At 41.5% G+C, this 16,267-nt stretch overlaps 2 protein-coding genes across 5 annotated transcripts in view, besides 5 other annotated features; one reads left to right on the forward strand and one right to left on the reverse strand.

Annotated features, from left to right (window-relative positions):
* Positions 1-6,208, reverse strand: part of FRK (fyn related Src family tyrosine kinase) — a 169,577-nt gene extending 163,369 nt beyond the window's left edge. For all 3 annotated transcript variants that reach the window (XM_011535656.3, XM_011535655.3, XM_011535654.3), the window contains exon 1: positions 5,975-6,208. In XM_011535656.3, coding sequence (XP_011533958.1) covers positions 5,975-5,979 — 5 coding nt within the window. In that variant the 5' untranslated portion in view covers positions 5,980-6,208. The remainder of the gene's footprint in view (positions 1-5,974) is intronic.
* Positions 5,996-6,518: an enhancer, noted in NCBI's record as "H3K27ac hESC enhancer chr6:116421676-116422198 (GRCh37/hg19 assembly coordinates)". NCBI's record gives its function as "activates a minimal SCP1, AML or CMV promoter by ChIP-STARR-seq in primed H9 embryonic stem cells {active_cell/tissue: H9 hESC(primed)}" and the evidence as "EXISTENCE:reporter gene assay evidence [ECO:0000049][PMID:30033119]".
* Positions 6,152-6,411: a silencer, noted in NCBI's record as "silent region_17491". NCBI's record gives its function as "represses an Ori minimal core promoter by ATAC-STARR-seq in GM12878 lymphoblastoid cells {active_cell/tissue: GM12878}" and the evidence as "EXISTENCE:reporter gene assay evidence [ECO:0000049][PMID:35858748]".
* NT5DC1 (5'-nucleotidase domain containing 1) overlaps positions 6,336-16,267 on the forward strand; it is a 148,645-nt gene continuing 138,713 nt past the window's right edge. For both annotated transcript variants that reach the window (NM_152729.3, XM_006715378.4), the window contains exons 1-3: positions 6,336-6,506; positions 11,727-11,818; positions 13,847-13,918. In NM_152729.3, coding sequence (NP_689942.2) covers positions 6,414-6,506; positions 11,727-11,818; positions 13,847-13,918 — 257 coding nt within the window. In that variant the 5' untranslated portion in view covers positions 6,336-6,413. The remainder of the gene's footprint in view (positions 6,507-11,726; positions 11,819-13,846; positions 13,919-16,267) is intronic.
* Positions 6,519-7,039: an enhancer, noted in NCBI's record as "H3K27ac hESC enhancer chr6:116422199-116422719 (GRCh37/hg19 assembly coordinates)". NCBI's record gives its function as "activates a minimal SCP1, AML or CMV promoter by ChIP-STARR-seq in primed H9 embryonic stem cells {active_cell/tissue: H9 hESC(primed)}" and the evidence as "EXISTENCE:reporter gene assay evidence [ECO:0000049][PMID:30033119]".
* Positions 8,509-8,578: an enhancer, noted in NCBI's record as "active region_24980". NCBI's record gives its function as "activates an Ori minimal core promoter by ATAC-STARR-seq in GM12878 lymphoblastoid cells {active_cell/tissue: GM12878}" and the evidence as "EXISTENCE:reporter gene assay evidence [ECO:0000049][PMID:35858748]".
* Positions 12,640-12,809: an enhancer, noted in NCBI's record as "experimental_88050 CRE fragment used in MPRA reporter constructs". NCBI's record gives its function as "activates a minimal promoter by MPRAs in K562 erythroleukemia cells, with activity observed for the non-introgressed 6:116428405 variant allele {active_cell/tissue: K562}" and the evidence as "EXISTENCE:reporter gene assay evidence [ECO:0000049][PMID:34662402]".

The following is a 16,267-nucleotide window of genomic DNA, read 5'->3' on the forward strand; positions in this document are numbered from 1 at the left end:
TCTAATCCTACATGCTCACGCTGCAATATGGAAAAAAAGGGAGTTCCTAACCTTTAGGGGAACTTCCATTAAATATCACAAGGAAACCATGGAGTTATTGCACGCAGTGCAAAAACCCAAAGAGGTGGCAGTCTTACACTACCAAAGCCGTCAAAAGGGGAAGGAGAGGGGAGAACAGCAGCATAAGCATCTGGCAGAGACAGGGAAAGACCAGCAGAAAGGAAAGAGAGAAAGAGACAGAAAGTCAGAGAAAGAGAAGAAGAGAGGGGAAGAGACAGAGACAAAGAGGGAATCAGAGAGAAAGAGAGACAGAAAGTCAAAGAGAGGAAGAGATAGACAGGGAGTAAGAAAGAGAGAAAGAGACAAAGAAGTCAAAGAGAAAGAAAGAGAGATGGAAGTAGTAAAGAAAAAACAGCGTACCATATTCCTTTAAAAGCCAGGGTAAATTTAAAACCTATAATTGATAATTGAAGGTCTTCTCTATAACCCTATAACACTCCAATACTACCTTGTTGTCAGTGTAAACAAGGGCATAGGCCGAAAATACTGAGGCCACTGACAACCCGTAGCCTTTCTATCAAAAATCCTTAATCCAGCAGGTTTCCTAACAGGGGATCTAAATCTTAATTAATTACCATCCAAAGGTCCAACCAGACCTAGGAAGAACTCCCTTCAAGACAGGACAATAGATGGTTCCTCCTAGGTGATTAAGGGAAAACGACACCATGGGTATTCAGTAAGTGATAAGGGAACTCTTTATAGAAGCAGAGTTAGGAAAATTGCCTAATAATTGGTCTGCTCAAACATGGGAGTTGCTTGCACTCAGCCAAACCTTAAAGTATTTACAGAATCAGGAAGGAGCCATCTATATCAATTCTAAGTTAATATGGACTGAAAGAGGTTTTATTAATAGCAAAGAAAAATTAAAATCCCAAACTTACAAGGTTTTCAACAAAAGTAAAGTTTGCTAAAAGTTAACAGTGTAACATGTATTATCCTAACGTCTAATCTTATGGACATCATACCCTATCAGTGCCCCTCAAAGCTCAAGTCCATCAGTGCAGGGTCATGCAACTAATACCCCTACTTATAGGGTTAGAAATGGCCACTGCTACAGGAAGCAGAATAGCAGGTTTATCTACTTCATGATCCTACTACCACACACTCTCAAAGGATTTCTCAAACAATTTGCAAGAAATAACAAAATCTATCCAGTAAGGATAGTAACTACAATCCCAAATAGACTCTTTGGCAGCAGTGACTCTCCAAAACTGCCAAGGCCTAGACCTCTTCACTGCTGAGAAAGGAGGACTTTGCAGCTTCTTAGGGGAAGAGTGTTGCTTTTACACTAACCAGTCAGGGACAGTATGAGATGCCGCCCAGCATTTATAGGAAAAGGCTTCTGATATCAGACAATGCCTTTCAAACTCTTATACCAACCTCTGGAATTGGGTGACATGACTTCTCCCCTTTCTAGGTCCCATGACAGCCATCTTGCCATTACTCGCCTTCAGGCCCTTTATTTTTAACCTCCTTGTCAAATTTGGTTCCTCTAGGATCACGGCCATCAAGCTACAGATGGTCTTACAAATGGAACCACAAATGAGCTCAACTAACAACTTCTACCGAGGACCCGTGGACAAACCCACTGGCCCTTTGACTGGCCTAAAGAGTTCCCCTCTAGAGGACAGTACAACTGTAGGGCCCCTTCTTTGCCCCTATCCCACAGGAAGTAGCTAGAATGGTCATCGCCCAATTCCCAACAGCAGTTGGGGTGTCCTGTTTAGAGGAGAGATTGAGAGGTGAAGCCAGCTGTACTTTGTGGGTCGAGTGGGGATTTTTTGTGTCTAGCTAAAGGATTGTAAATGTACCAATCAATACTCTGTGTCTAACTAAAGGATTGTAAATGCACTAATCAGCACTCTGTAAAAACACACCAATCAGCACTCTGTGTCTAGCTAAAAGACTGTAAACACGCCAATCAGCACTCTGTAAAAACGCACCAATCAGCACTCTGTGTCTACCTAAAGGATTGTAAATGTGCCAATCAGCACTCTGCAAAAATGCACCAATGAGCACTCTGTGTCTAGCTAAAGGATTGTAAATGCACCAATCAGCACTCTGTAAAATGGACCAATCAGCACTCTATAAAATGGACCAATCAGCGCTCTGTAAAATGGACCAATCAGCAGGACGTGTGCAGGGACAAATAAGGGAATAAAAGCTGTCCACTCCAGCCAGCAGCGGCAACCCACTCAGGTCCTCTTCCATGCTGTGGAAGCTTTGTTCTTTCGCTCTTCACAATAAATCTTGCTTCTGCTCACTCTTTGGGTCCATGCCACCTTTAAGAGCTGTAACACTCACCACAAAGGTCCACGGCTTCATTCTTAAAGTCAGTGAGACCAAGAACCCCCTGGAAGGAACCAACTACGGACACAAAAGGACTTTGTCCCATTACGTCCTCCCTCTCCATCATCGAAAATAAATTCACACACCAAAAAACCACAGTGAAATTTCTAAGTAGGCTTCTTCTTCTTGTGGTAAGAACAGAGTAGAAAATCAAGAGAGTAGAAAATGAAGTATTTTTTATTAAGAAATGTAAAGATTTTAAGATTACTAAAAAAAAATAAAAAATATTCCTCATGCAGGACTACTGCCATCTAAAGGCCTCAGCATAATATTACAAATAAGTATTTGGTTCTATGTAGCTAAATGTCTAATATTTAAGTGCCATAGAGTTTTATTTTTAGAAATTCATATTTTTCCTATTTTTTTCCAATTTAGTAAATGAACTTTTTTCTTACCCCTTAAAGAATTATATGTGCCACAGAAGATATGTAGATTGGCTTAGGTTATACAAAAAGTTGAACATACAATGTTTAATTAGGAATATTTAGAAAAGCATATTTTAAACTAATGAAAAAAGAAACAGGCCATTTCCCTCCTTCCCAAAAATGTATGGCAAATCATATTTACAATATAGATGTTAAAATAAAGTATTATAAATTCACAAAAGATCAGTTATTGAGATATTATAGAGTCTAAAGCTTAAGCTAGCTAATCACAAGTCACACCTAAGGTTAAAATTGCTAAATTATAGTACCACCTCAATTAAAAGCAGATCAATTGTAATAATGAAATTTAATTCTAGAAAATCGGCTGTAATATAACTTCCTGTTTCTGAATATTTCTAAATTATTACATAACTCATAAGTATAAGAAAAAACAGTACATGAAATACTAAAAACAAAAAAACTCTAAAACTTCACAGCATGGTATTAATGTTACACATAAGCAAAAGTACCCAACTTCAAGAAGTCAACAAATAACATAAACCCAAGTTCATGTCCTTTACAGACCTTTCAAATGGCAAATATTTCCTACATTTAACACAACACTGATTTGAGTCAATTATCCTTATTAACTGCCTTAGTTGGCTCAGCGTGCCTTAACAGAATACCACACAATGGGGTTTAGACAACAAAAAATTATTTTCTCACAGTTCTGGAGGCTCAAAGTCCAAGATCAAGGCGCTGTCAGGGTTGGTTTCTGGTGAAGCCACTCTCCTTGGCTTACAGACAGCTTTTTTTTTTTTTTTTTTTTTTTTTTTAAAAGACAGGGTCTCTCTCTGTCACCCAGGCTGGAGTGCGATGGCCTGATTCCAGCCCACTGCAACCTCTGCCTCCCAGGTTCAAGCGATCCTCCCACCCCAGCCCCTACAACAGCTAGGACTATAGGTGCCTGCCACCATACCCTGCTAATTTTTGTATTTTTTCTAGAGATGGGTCTCGCTATGTTGCCCAAGCTGGTCTTGAACTCCTTACCTCAAGCGATCTGCCTACTTTGGCCTCCCAAAGTGCTGGGATTACAGGTGTGTGCCACGACGCCAGGCAGACAGCCGTGGTTTTGTGGCTCCTCACATGGCCTTTCTTGTGTGCTTGAAAACTCTGGTGCCCCTTCCTCTTCTTACAAGAATGCTAATCCTGTTGGATTAGGGCTCCACCCTTATGGCCTTATTTAACATTAATTACTTCCTTAAAGGCCCTATGTCAAATATAAACACATTGTGGGTTAGGTCTTCAACACATGAATGAGTGGGGGACAAAATTCAGTCCATGATACTCAAAGAAACAGAAATTAATTGGTATCTAAGTAGAAGACTGAACTTGTAGTTGATAATACAAGAGCTGTGGCATTTTATCAGTAAGTGTGATAAAAGTTTAATGTGCAGGGAAAATGAAATATCTTTATCCAAAAATAAGCCTTATGAAACAATTAAACTGAGTGTTTGTATTTAAACTCAGGGTTATGTAGGGAATGGGAGAAGAGAAGGGAACCATCCCCTATATTTCTGGAAGAGTCAGACTGAGGTTTGAGGTACAAAGGAAAGGTGAGTGGGGCTCAAGAAAGAGTACAAGCCTCTAGGATTGGATCATTTGCAAAATTCTCCCACAAAGTTTAAATGATGTGGACTCTCTAGCACAAGAACTGTTTGTGCAAACATGCAGAATATATATAATTTGTTAATCAGCAAGTACATAAGATTGTTGATGTGCATGTAATAGCCAGATCCAGTCCCAGGACCACTTGGTTATCGACCCAGGGGTCTTTTTCTCTTTAAGAGTGCCCTGGTTCCCTCTCTCCCCTTACCCCAAGTCAATTTCCTGTTCACAATTCAGCACACTCAAGAGGTTTTGTAAGGAGAAGTTTTTGCTAAGTCAACAAAAAACAATCCTTTTATACTCTTCCCTCTTACAATGAATGTACTAGTACATTTGTATTACTAAGGGAAGTCCCTAAAGTACCTAAAGCACCTACTCCCACATGAAACAAGATATTCCCCAAGGAAACATGTGCCCTTCAATGTGGCATGCACCTGGAAGTTTGACTTTGGTAGCATTCTATTGCAAGGTGCAGAGGAGAATGCCAAGGTCAATGCTCCAGGGCCAACAAGCTTTTTCCAGCCTCTCCAACAATCCAGCCTTTTCTCTTTTGGTTCACAGACATTGAAAACATGATTGTTGGACTCATCAGTGAACAGCTTAATCTTCTTGAAGATTCTTTACTTTTCCTATTCCAGAGAGATTTGTTTGGGGCTTTTAAGTGTTATAATGGAACAAGTTATCAATTTTATTCAAATGGGTCTACTAGGTATAAGTGTCCTCCTACTCAATTGTACTATCTATTGCACTAAATTAATCCTCTGATTGGTCTATTAGCCTCAGAAGGATTAGTATTTGAAAGGGTTAAATGCAGTTCTCAATCAATTATATTTTCATTATGTCACGACTATTGATTTGTCCCATTAGACACATTGTTCCTTTAAATTGAGAACTGAAGCAGTGTAAACATAATAGATTTGTATTTTCTTTTTAAAATGAGGTACTATGTAATAAAGATCTCAAAGTGCTAGTCCTTCACATCCGGAAATCAGGAAGAGAATTAAATGCCCTAAGGCATACATTGTATGTAATGGATTAACTTTCTCTGCATCTAAAATGGTAGTAGTTATACAGTTCTTGAGAGAATTAAGCAAATGTCACTCAAAACATTTTGTGCTCTATAAACCTTAAACCCGGTTTGCAAAAGTTTTTTGTAGTATGCTCTATATATTTCTATGAAGTTTCTGATGCCCTTTCATAAAAAATTCATTACAATAACAAAATAGGATTATCAAGTAATAACCAATATTGGTTTCCATAACAAGTATCATCTTGCAAAATGGTTCTTCACGATGTCTGATACATTTATTTTCTAACGCACTCCAGGGTATGAAATAGTGAAAGGTCTGTCTTCCACTTAACCACTTAGGAAACCAAGGAATATAAAGTTTTTGGTTTAAACCACTATCAAAGATCACGTGGGTGAAAAGACCTTCCAAATTGTAGGCTAACTGGGTCAGAGGGATATTAGCGGATGAATTTTTTCTATGATCTTACTATTCCTCACACAGGGGTAAAAGGTCAGGTCTAACCTCATGATCTCCTGGTTTCCGAGGCGCCCTGAGGCGATGGAGTGTCCCGGTTAATTTTGTGGTAGCCCTCGGGAAAGGCTACGTGCCTACAGGTCTCAGCTGTGCAGCAGCGGCACCGCTCCTGGACCCCTACTGCCTTCTGGGCTCCTAGGCTTGCGGAACAGATCAGGAGTCGCCGGCATTGGGGTACCAGGAGGACGCGAGCTGACTACCTGACTCCGGGCGGCGCAGGACGCCCGCCGCGCGAGGGGCGGGGGCTAAGCGTATCGAGGGGCGGTGCTCGAGGGCGCGGGAGGCGGGAGAGGCTGCCGCGCCGTGTGCCCTGGCAGCCGCAGCCCCGCCCCGCCGCGTCCGGCCCGGTCCTGTCCCGCAGCGTCCCGCCAGCCAGCTCCTTGCACCCTTCGCGGCCGAGGCGCTCCCTGGTGCTCCCCGCGCAGCCATGGCTCAGCACTTCTCCCTGGCCGCCTGCGACGTGGTCGGATTCGACCTGGACCACACTCTGTGTCGCTACAACCTGCCCGAGAGCGCCCCGGTGAGTGGCGCGGGCTCCGGGGCGCACTGCGCGCAACCTCCATGGCGGCTGGGGCTTGAGTTTCCTCCAGGTTTGGGCAACGGCGGACGCTGCCCGGGGCCTGCGGCGGCCGAGTCTTGCCGCAGAGCGCGGCCTCCAGCGGCGAGAAGGGGCGGAAGTGTGCAGCCTCCGCTCCGCGCCGGTGCCGTGGGGACCGGCACATTTACCTCAGCCATTAGCTAATGTTGAGAGGGATAGGGAAGAACGAAGGAGGGGCAAACTGCGCAAGACCGGGCTGGGGAATCGGTGATTTCTAGGGCCGAGGAGGGGCGGGGTCAGGGGGACTAGGGCTGTCCTTGAAGATCTCACGTCGTGGAACTTTCTCTGCATGTCTTTCTGGACACCAGCTGATTGTGGACACAGCCACTTGATTTGGTACTTGCATTTTTTTTGGCTGCATTTTTCTGTTTGCACGATCAACCACCCATCAGTGTTTAAACTGCAATCTGGGAGAGATGCGTAGTATATAGTGTAGTGTATTGAAAGGAACACTAGTTGAAAAGTCATTAAGATCTTAGCCCTAGTTTTACCTTCTATCAAGAGAAGAAAATACATATTTATTGCGCATCGACTACGTGCTCCGTGCACTTTGAATACATTCCAGTCCTACCAACAGTCTGCGAAGTTTGGGTCCTCACTGTGCCCTGAGGGAGGGGGACATGGAGTATGCATGCTTCCAGACCTGTACACTCAAATTAATTGCCCTCCCTCCACTATTCCTTTGGTTTCCCAATTCCCAAGGAAACTAATTTTGAAAAGTTACCAGATTTTTTTAGTCCAAGATCTAAGCATCCAGACAGAAAAAGAGCTGGTTATGAGTACAGTGGTGAAAGCGAGGACTCCTCAGCCAGACTGCCTAGCTTAGGACACCAGCTCCACTGTTACTAGCTCTGTGACTTCGAGGAAGTTACTTAACCTGTGCTGCTTCTCAGTTTCCCCATCTGTAAAATGGAGCTAATAATTGGATTTACCTCACAAGATTGTTGCAAGGATTAAATGAGTAAGAGATGTATAATGCTTAGAATAGTACCTTGGCAAAGACAAGTGTTTGCTTTTATGGTTACCACCCAAACTATTTGGAAACCTCACAGTTTATGGGTAGAACTCTAGATCACTGGTGCAGACATCAGCCAGGGTTGTGCCCCATTATGGGCACCCGCCAGTTCCTGCACCCACCAGTTCAGGTACACGTTAAAGGTCAAAAAAGAGTGGCTGCCCGAATTTCTCGTGTGTTTTCTATGCCCAGATGCTAAATTTTTTTTTAAATGTCCTTTTTCTGCTGTTACACTTTCCTGCTTTCTTACCTTACAGGTCTGGTTTCCTTAGTCACATTGAGAATTAAGAAGGCTTTTTTACTGCTTGATTCTTTGGCCACTGCTTCCCCTAGGTCTTTGATACATGTTTTCCTTCCCTCTGTGTCTTTCGAATCCTTCCTGGTTCACAGTTTTGTGTGTCTCCTCTTTAGTTACCTTCATTTGGAGGTAATATTGTTAAACCACTGTCATGTTAGAGCTAGTGTTGTCCATAGGTGATCATAAAATTTCAGAATATAAGATTCTCAAAGACAAGAGGTTTTTTTACTGCAAACCTGGAGAATAAGTGATGTTTAAAGCTTGAAAACAGTAACCTATTGAGTTTTGGATCATGTTTGGTGTGGAAATCTTTTTTATTTTAAGTCCCACAGTGTGCTGAGCACCATGCTAGAGCTGAGGATACAGAGATCAACACGCAGGCCTCCAGGCAGCCTTACACAGTAGGCAAAAATGCTGAAGAGTTAGTCTTGGTCCCTTGTGGTGGGTAGTATGACCTGGGTCTTGCTTCACGCTGCCAACAGTGCCTGGAGGGCCTCTTTGCTCTGCACAGAAGCTCTTCATCCCATCAGGCCTCATCTTAAACATCGTTCCCCTTAGGAAGTCTTTTTGGCCCTTAAAGTTTGCCCTTCCATTCTAAGCCCACCTTCAGTTTTCCACAAAACCCTTCATTCCTCATAGCACATGCTGCATGATATTAACACTTCCTGTTTACTTGTTGGACTTCCCCTAGAGCCCAGCGTGATGACTCCATCAGTATCTGTGACAGTTTCTTGTGTGTTCTGTGTGCCGAGCTTAGTGCTGGGCACATACTGGACTCAATAAATAGACTGAATAGATAATAGGTATTTTAATAACAGAATATGATACAGCCATGATTCTAATAAGCATGCTGCTTATATGAATGGATTTAATCCTTACAACGTCCCTGTGAGGTAGATATTATCACCACTGTTTAATCACTTAACAGTGATTTAGTCACTGTTAAGAGAGCATCAAGCAACGGGGCACAGAAGGAAAGTGTATCCAGGGCAACTAAGCGAGGTAGTCCGGCTGTGGATTTCTGCTTCTTCCCACCTTGCTGTCTGTATGGTGCCCGAAAACACAGAGGAAAGGCCGGGAGCTGGCAGGTGAGGAGGTGGAGAGGAGTGCTTCACCCAGAGGAGTTAGAGTAAAGGTCAGAACCTCGAGGTGAGCAACAGCACCGGGAACTGCTGGGTGCAAGCAAAAGGTGGCAAGTTGCAGGAGAAGATGGTGGAGAAGTCAGTGGGGGCTGCATCATGGAGAGCTGTGAGTGCGTCTCCTTTCAGTTTTGTAGGCATTTAACAACTGCACAGAGTTGTGCAAACACAGAACTGAGTGTGTCCCCCTCACATGAGGCCTCAGGAAAGGCATTCTAGAAGAGAGGATGACACATGGTTTCTCCTCTCTAAGGTTGCAGACTCAGAAGTCTGATACCAGTCAGTTAACGTAGATGTGTGAGTGGGAGAGTGGGGTCCCAAATATTGCATGCTTATACTAAAAAAAAATTATTTGTTTTTTATTTGAAAGTCACATTTACCTAGGCATTTTTAAATTTTATCTGGCAACCTTAAGTGGGAACCAAACATAATTTGTAGGCTGCATATGGACCACAGGGTACCAATTGGCAACTGCAGTAGAACGTGTATTATTATTACTCCTGAGAGACTGTGAGGTGGTGATAGCTAAGGCTGGGGGAGGAATGTCATGGAGAGCCCTGTGCCATGAAGGCTTCTAGAGAGACTCAGCGTACTCTAAGGACAAACTGCAAGAAGCCTTCTGCCTAGACCAGGGGTTTCAGAGTACAGATGCCCCTGCTTTTCTTCACACTGCTTTTCTCTGCTTCTTTTCCTTGTCCATTGGCCCCCTTCTCTCCTGTTACAGAAAAATCTCCTCCACAAGGTAAGGAACACAGCTGTTGCTGTCCCTGTTGGCGTCTCTGATGGAAAGGGCTCCTTTCTTCCAGGAGAATTCAAGTGTTTTAGAATTACATGCCCATATCTTAGACTAATCACTTGAATAACTGGAGAAACTCAAAAGTGCCTCAATGAGAGGCAAATCTAAGGTGTACAATAGCTGGCTCTTAGGGGCTTGTGAAAGCCAATTGTTAACTATTCAGGAATTGTGCAAGCAGGTAAACTGCTGTTGGTGACTTGAAACAGGCCATGGTGGGAATATTTACACCGTGGAGATGGGCAAGCGCTACCTGTCAGGGCAGTGTTTTTGTTTTCTGTTTTTTTGTTTTGTTTTGTTTTGTTTTTAGCAGCATACAACATAATAATAGCAAATACTTAAATTGGATTTGCTGGTGTGCCAGGCTCTGCTCTAAGCATTTTACATCTGTTAGCCCTGCAGCACTGGTTTCTTATAAGCAGGATCGTGATGTGGACTTTTTATTGTCCATAGTACTTTGTACCACAGGGTGACTCAGTGTATTTTTTGTTGCTTTTTTCCTTTTAATGATTGAATAAAAATCTGTAAAACATGCAGGTCAGTGATTTTCAGTGTTCTCTGTGCTTCAGAGAGGGCCCTCTCTACCCTGTATGCTTGGAAGCTCTGGGTAGTTTTAAGAAGTGTCACCTATGGTTCTGAATCACCACCAGGGTTAAGAACTGTTGATATATAGTGTTAACATAATGTGGTTCAATTAACAGTTGACCTGGATAAGGTCACATTGCACTGGATGGAAGTACATGTGTAGTGATTTTAATTAGCTTTATGACAGGGAGCAACTCGATTTGACATTTCACAAGGAGCCTTTGCTTTCTCCATGCTCATATCCTGACACTCAGACCCCGACACCCCTACTCCAGCTGTGTGCAGGCCCCTCAGTTTCTGAACCTGAGTTGCCCCCCATTCCCTCTGCATTCACCCAGCGAACTGCTGCATCTAAGTATCAGTGTAAACCTCACTACCCAGGAGAGATTTCCCCTGCTCCTCTGCCTCCCTCTTCTCCCTAAAAGTATGACATGTTATCGAAACCTGTTGTGGGTTAATATCTGTAGAAGAAGGGTCAGATTGTTCAGTGTGTCCTTTTGGACACTGTGCAGGTTGACTCAGACAACTGTTCTGCTCAGGCTCAAGTTTACCCAACACTGGCCAAAGAACACTTCGAGGTAGAATAAGGTTGGACCATCTACCTTTTGTGCACTTTTTGTTTGGTATGTACAGTTCTTTTAAAGTTAGCCAGCACTTAAAAACCAGATATTTTACTCAAAAACCTAGCATTTTTTGTTGTTGAGAAATAAGATCTGTCAGCAATCAACAGAGTATTTATTATTGTAATTATTGTACTTGCTTCCAGAGGCTTTCTTTGTCCTTTGTCTTTAGATTTTTTTTTTTTAATGGTTTTTGTGTATGTGTGTGTGGAGAAACAAGAGTGATTACCTGTATCTGATAGAGGCATCATGACTTGTTTAGATCACCTTCCTGGTCCCCATATGTATTTCCCTGACATGGGGCCTTTCTGGCCAGAATGGACCAAGGATGGATGGATAGAGTGGTCATCATCTTTATCATCTTAGTGATGTATTAAATAAGTTTAAAAAGCTTTGTCAAGTCTTAAATTATGATCTCCAACCCATTAGAATTCAGGAGTAGGGTTAATAATTGTCTTTGGTTGTATAATTGTATGCTGACGGTATAATTTTGAATGGGACAGCTACCTGGGGCATGCAGGGGATGATAAATTGCTTGTGAAGGAGAATTATACTGCAGAACTTCACAATTACAGATATTTCCTTCCTCCTACCTGCCCCCATCAGCAATTCCATTAGGGTTTTAGGTCTGTGACATTAAGAATGAATAGTGGGTGTTATATTTAATCTGTTTTTCTTCCCCTTATTTGCAGCTCATTTATAATAGCTTTGCCCAGTTCCTAGTTAAGGAGAAAGGGTACGATAAGGAATTGCTCAATGTGACCCCAGAGGATTGGGATTTCTGGTAAGTTCTTTTTTTTTTTTTTTTTTTAAGTCTGTACATTTCCTGTGGTTCTAATTGTTACTGATAAAACTGTAATGCTTTCTCTTCTAAGAAGATGGAATGTGAAATGTGAGATTGAGTCAAAGGACAAATGCCTTCTATATTAAAAGTTTTGTATTTAATGAATTAAAGTGTTTTCTACTTTAAACAAGTTTAGACTTGCCTAATTAAATGTGAAAATAAGCTAAGAGTTTATGTGACTAATTTGGATATTTTCATATAGTTTAAGTTTGTCATAATAGTTTCAGAGGTTAGTAAGAACTGTTTCTAAAATTTGCATCTTTAAGAAAAAGGTTTGGTTTACTATCTTTTAAGAACTATAAGAGAAAAGGAGGAATCATCACATTTTGAGTAAGTCTGAATTAGGACAATTGCTTTTCTGTCATTTAGTTCGACATTCCTAAGACTCTTACTGGGAATTCCCTTCCTGGGTTAGGACTCTCAGCTTCCCAAAGCTTCGTTTGTCTTCCTCATTTAGATAACAAAACAAACAAATATCCTAAGCCACTTTAAATTGTTCAGTTTAAAATCAGGCCAGGCAGGCGTGGTGGCAATTCTGTAATCCCAGCACTTTGGGAGGCTGAGGTGGGCAGATTGCTTGAGTCTAGGAGTTGGAGACCAGCCTGGGCAACATGACGAAACCCCAACTCTGCAAAAAATAAAAAATAATTAGCCAGGTGAGGTGGCACGTGCTTGTATTTCCAGCTACTGGAGAGACTAAGGTGGGAGGATTGCCTGAACCCAGGAGGTCCAGGCTGCTGTGAGCCGCTGATCATGCCACTGCATTCCAGCCTGGGCTACAGAGTGAGAATCAATAACAATACTAAACCACATGAAAAATACCTACATTATGTTGATCTAGTATGCATTCTTTTGATATTTTGTTAGTCTTTTTTGATGTAACATTTTTGTAAAAGGAAGAAACAGTAACATGTTACTATATGAAATTACTGACTCTGGAAGTTTTACCCTGAACAAAAGTAAATAATCCTTCTAAAGTACCCTGTCATTTTTTGTTTAATTCCCTTGGTATTTGGTAGCCATTATACCACTTTGCTTTTATTATTCATAATAATGAATCTGTACTCACCTTTCTCCCCAAATCCCACAAGTCTTTTACAGTAAAGGAGCTAAAACAGTATTTGACTTTCTTTTAGTGGTTTTCTTTTTATTTTATTTTATTTTATTTTATTTTATTTTATTTTATTTTATTTTTGAGACAGAGTCTGGCTCTGTCGCCCAGGCTGGAGTGCAGTGGCGCGATCTCGGCTCACTGCAAGCTCTGCCTCCCGGGTTCATGCCATTCTCCTGCCTCAGCCTCCTGAGTAGCTGGGACTACAGGCGCCCGCCACTACGCCCGGCTAATTTTTTGTATTTTTAATAGAGATGGGGTTTCACCGTGTTAGCCAGGATGGTCTCGATCTCCTGACCTCGTGATCCGCCCGTCTCGGCCTCCCAAAGTGCTGGGATTACAGGCATGAGCCACCGCGCCTGGCCATAGTGGTTTTCAATGATATGCCTTGTCCAGATGGCAAGTTCTTGTAACCTGACCTAAATTGAGACGAATTCTAGAGTGTAGGAAAGACTGGCTAAGTGCTTAACTTGTAGAATATAAATGTGTGTGTGTGTGTGTGTATGTGTGTTTTATTTAGTGGAAAACATTTGTACATTTTAACAAAGTCATGGGATGATGTTCAGGTTCTTTTTTTCTCTTTTGAGTTTTAGATTTATCTTTTGAAAAGCCTAAAGATTTTACAAACTAAATATGCTGTCCTTGTTTACCTATATAACAATTTTCCTTTTATACCTGCTCAGTGATAGATATTTAATTTTACAGTTCTTAGATATTCTTAATTGTGTGATTAACATATCATTCCCCTGGGTGGCAGAATCCCTTTTTAGCATTATGATGTTTGGAAAATATAGGTTGTTATTTCTTAGGTTAGCTAAATATAGGAATTGATTAATAATCAAACTTTCCTATTTCAGTTGCAAAGGTTTGGCATTGGATCTAGAAGATGGGAACTTCCTTAAACTTGCAAATAATGGCACTGTTCTCAGGTAATAAAACTTAGTTGTGAAGTCTAAACTTTACCTTCTCTGAGACACTTTATTACTGAGTGGCATATGACCCTTACAGTATGGGTTAAATATGATTATTTTAATTAATCAGATGACAGATTGTCTGTCTACATGTCTTTGTATGAATTGTTTAAGCCATTTAAATATGAATTTGTGAGCATTAGATTTAAAGGTCTAGTTCCTTTAAGTTTACATCATTAGAAATATTTGTAGGACATACAATAGAAAGTTTATAACCTGCTACGTCTCATTGACCACTCCTTCTGGCAAAAGAGCCCAGGAATTTTACTGTTTTAGCTGACTGTGTGGCTGCCTAAAATAAAATTGGGATTCTTTTTGTTAAGAAAGAAAGAATGGGTATTGGGTAGGGGTTGGTGGTCTATACCCACCACCCTCTCTTTCTTCATTTATCCAAATTTGGCCCTGTCATGCAGGGATCATGTTGTGTCCTAGCTCCTTTTGGAAGTTTTTCTGGACTGTTCCAAGTCTCATCAACCTCTTCCTCCTCCCACACTCCAGGCTGACTTTCTTTACTTCTCTCCTCTCTGAGTGGGCCCAGCCTCTCAACGGTTGCTAAGGGTATGACAAGCAGTCCAGAAGCAGCTGCTGTCACTGCTCTGTCTCTCACAGGGCACCAGGGAGGGAGCATCTGTTTTTTCTCCAGTACTAATAGTACAGGCAAGTCAACATGGCTATGAAGCTATACCATTTATTACATACACAAACAGGATCAGAATCAAAGGAGAGAACTCCCAGACCCCTGATATGTACTCTCTTTTGTTGCATCATTCTTTTTGCATGATGCAAACTCCCTTCACACTTTCCCCCGACCTTCCCCTAAGGTGCATCTACCTAGAGCAGGTGTAGCCCCACCTTTGGTATTTTGTAGTTTGTTTCCATGTTTATTTCTCAGGCATTGAGAGATAGGGTATGTGTAAATGCAGCTTTGTCTATGACCTTTAACTCTTCTGTCAGATTCTCACAGTGTTCTTGGCTATCTTCAACCACAGTTAAAAGAATGAAAAGCTTTCTACAATTTTGTTTCTTTCTCTCTTTGTTCTATCTGTCTGTCCTTGTCCCAGTACCCCTCCTACAAGGTCTGTCTCTCTCCATCCAAGTCCTGGCTAACCTTTAGTTTCTCCTGAATTTATTAGCATACCTCCTTGATGCTTTCTTTCAACCAGTGTAGTAGATTCCTTTTCTGATCATATTTCCCATTCAGGATTCTTTGATCTTTACATATAGCTTTCTAAAATGTTAACCCCTTTATAAAAAGGAGCCCATTTGTGATTTTCCCCCATTTGCTTTTCTTATTTTATTTCTTTTTTCCTTCATATTATTTTGTTGCCACATTATAATACCAAGAGAATAATACTCTCAATCATTATAATTTCTCATAATAAACTACATTAACATTTCAACTAGTTCCTATAATGAACTACATTAACATTTCAACTACAGTAGTCCCTCCTTATCCTCGGAGGTTAGCTTCCAAAACCCCCAGTGGTTCCTTGAAATCATGGATAGTACATATCCCTATGTGTACTATGTCTTTTCCAATGATAAGGTTTAATAGATATAGTAAGAAAATATAAAATATAACAATAGAACTCAGAATGCTATGCAGTTTAAAACTTACGAATTGTTTGTTTCTGGAATTATGCCCTTAGTATTTTTCAACCCAGGTTGACCACAGGTAACTGAAACTGTGGGAGAGCAAAACTGGATAAGGGGGAACTACCATATTTCTCTGTAGCATAGGATTCTCTTAACTGGACAAAAGCAGTATTTCGAGCACAGAAAATACCTACTTTCTTGTCATGTTGCTCTGTTTTTCCACATTTCTCTTCGATTTCCCTATTTGGTTTTAGCCATGCTGTGTCCTTGAGTGGGCAGGTTGCTCCTCATCTTGTCTTCACAGTCCTGCGTGCTCACAATGATCCACCTGTGGGTGCCAGGTGCTTCCTGTGCCTCCTATGGGCCCGATGGACTCATGCTTTGACTCTGGTACCTACTGCTCTTTCTCCAGTGCTGCCAGAACCAGCTTCCCACTAATCCACACAGTTGTTTTCTAATTGCTCCAGGTATGTTCATCTTATTTGTGTAGTTAAACGACAACTTCTCTAAAAAAGGGTGGTATCTTATCCAGTGTTGACCTCAGAGTGAGTATCTCCTAATCACCTGCTACTTGATGGATTAAAGCGGGTAAGTGCTACAGCTGCCCACAGAAATGCTTTACAGAATCCTAAACAGGGAGGCACCCAGTTGAAAACAGAAAAAATACATATGTTTTTGTTAGCTCCAGTGGCAACAGGGATCAACAGTCAC

This window comes from Homo sapiens, chromosome 6 (genome assembly GCF_000001405.40).
Source record: "Homo sapiens chromosome 6, GRCh38.p14 Primary Assembly".
NCBI lineage: Eukaryota > Metazoa > Chordata > Mammalia > Primates > Hominidae > Homo > Homo sapiens.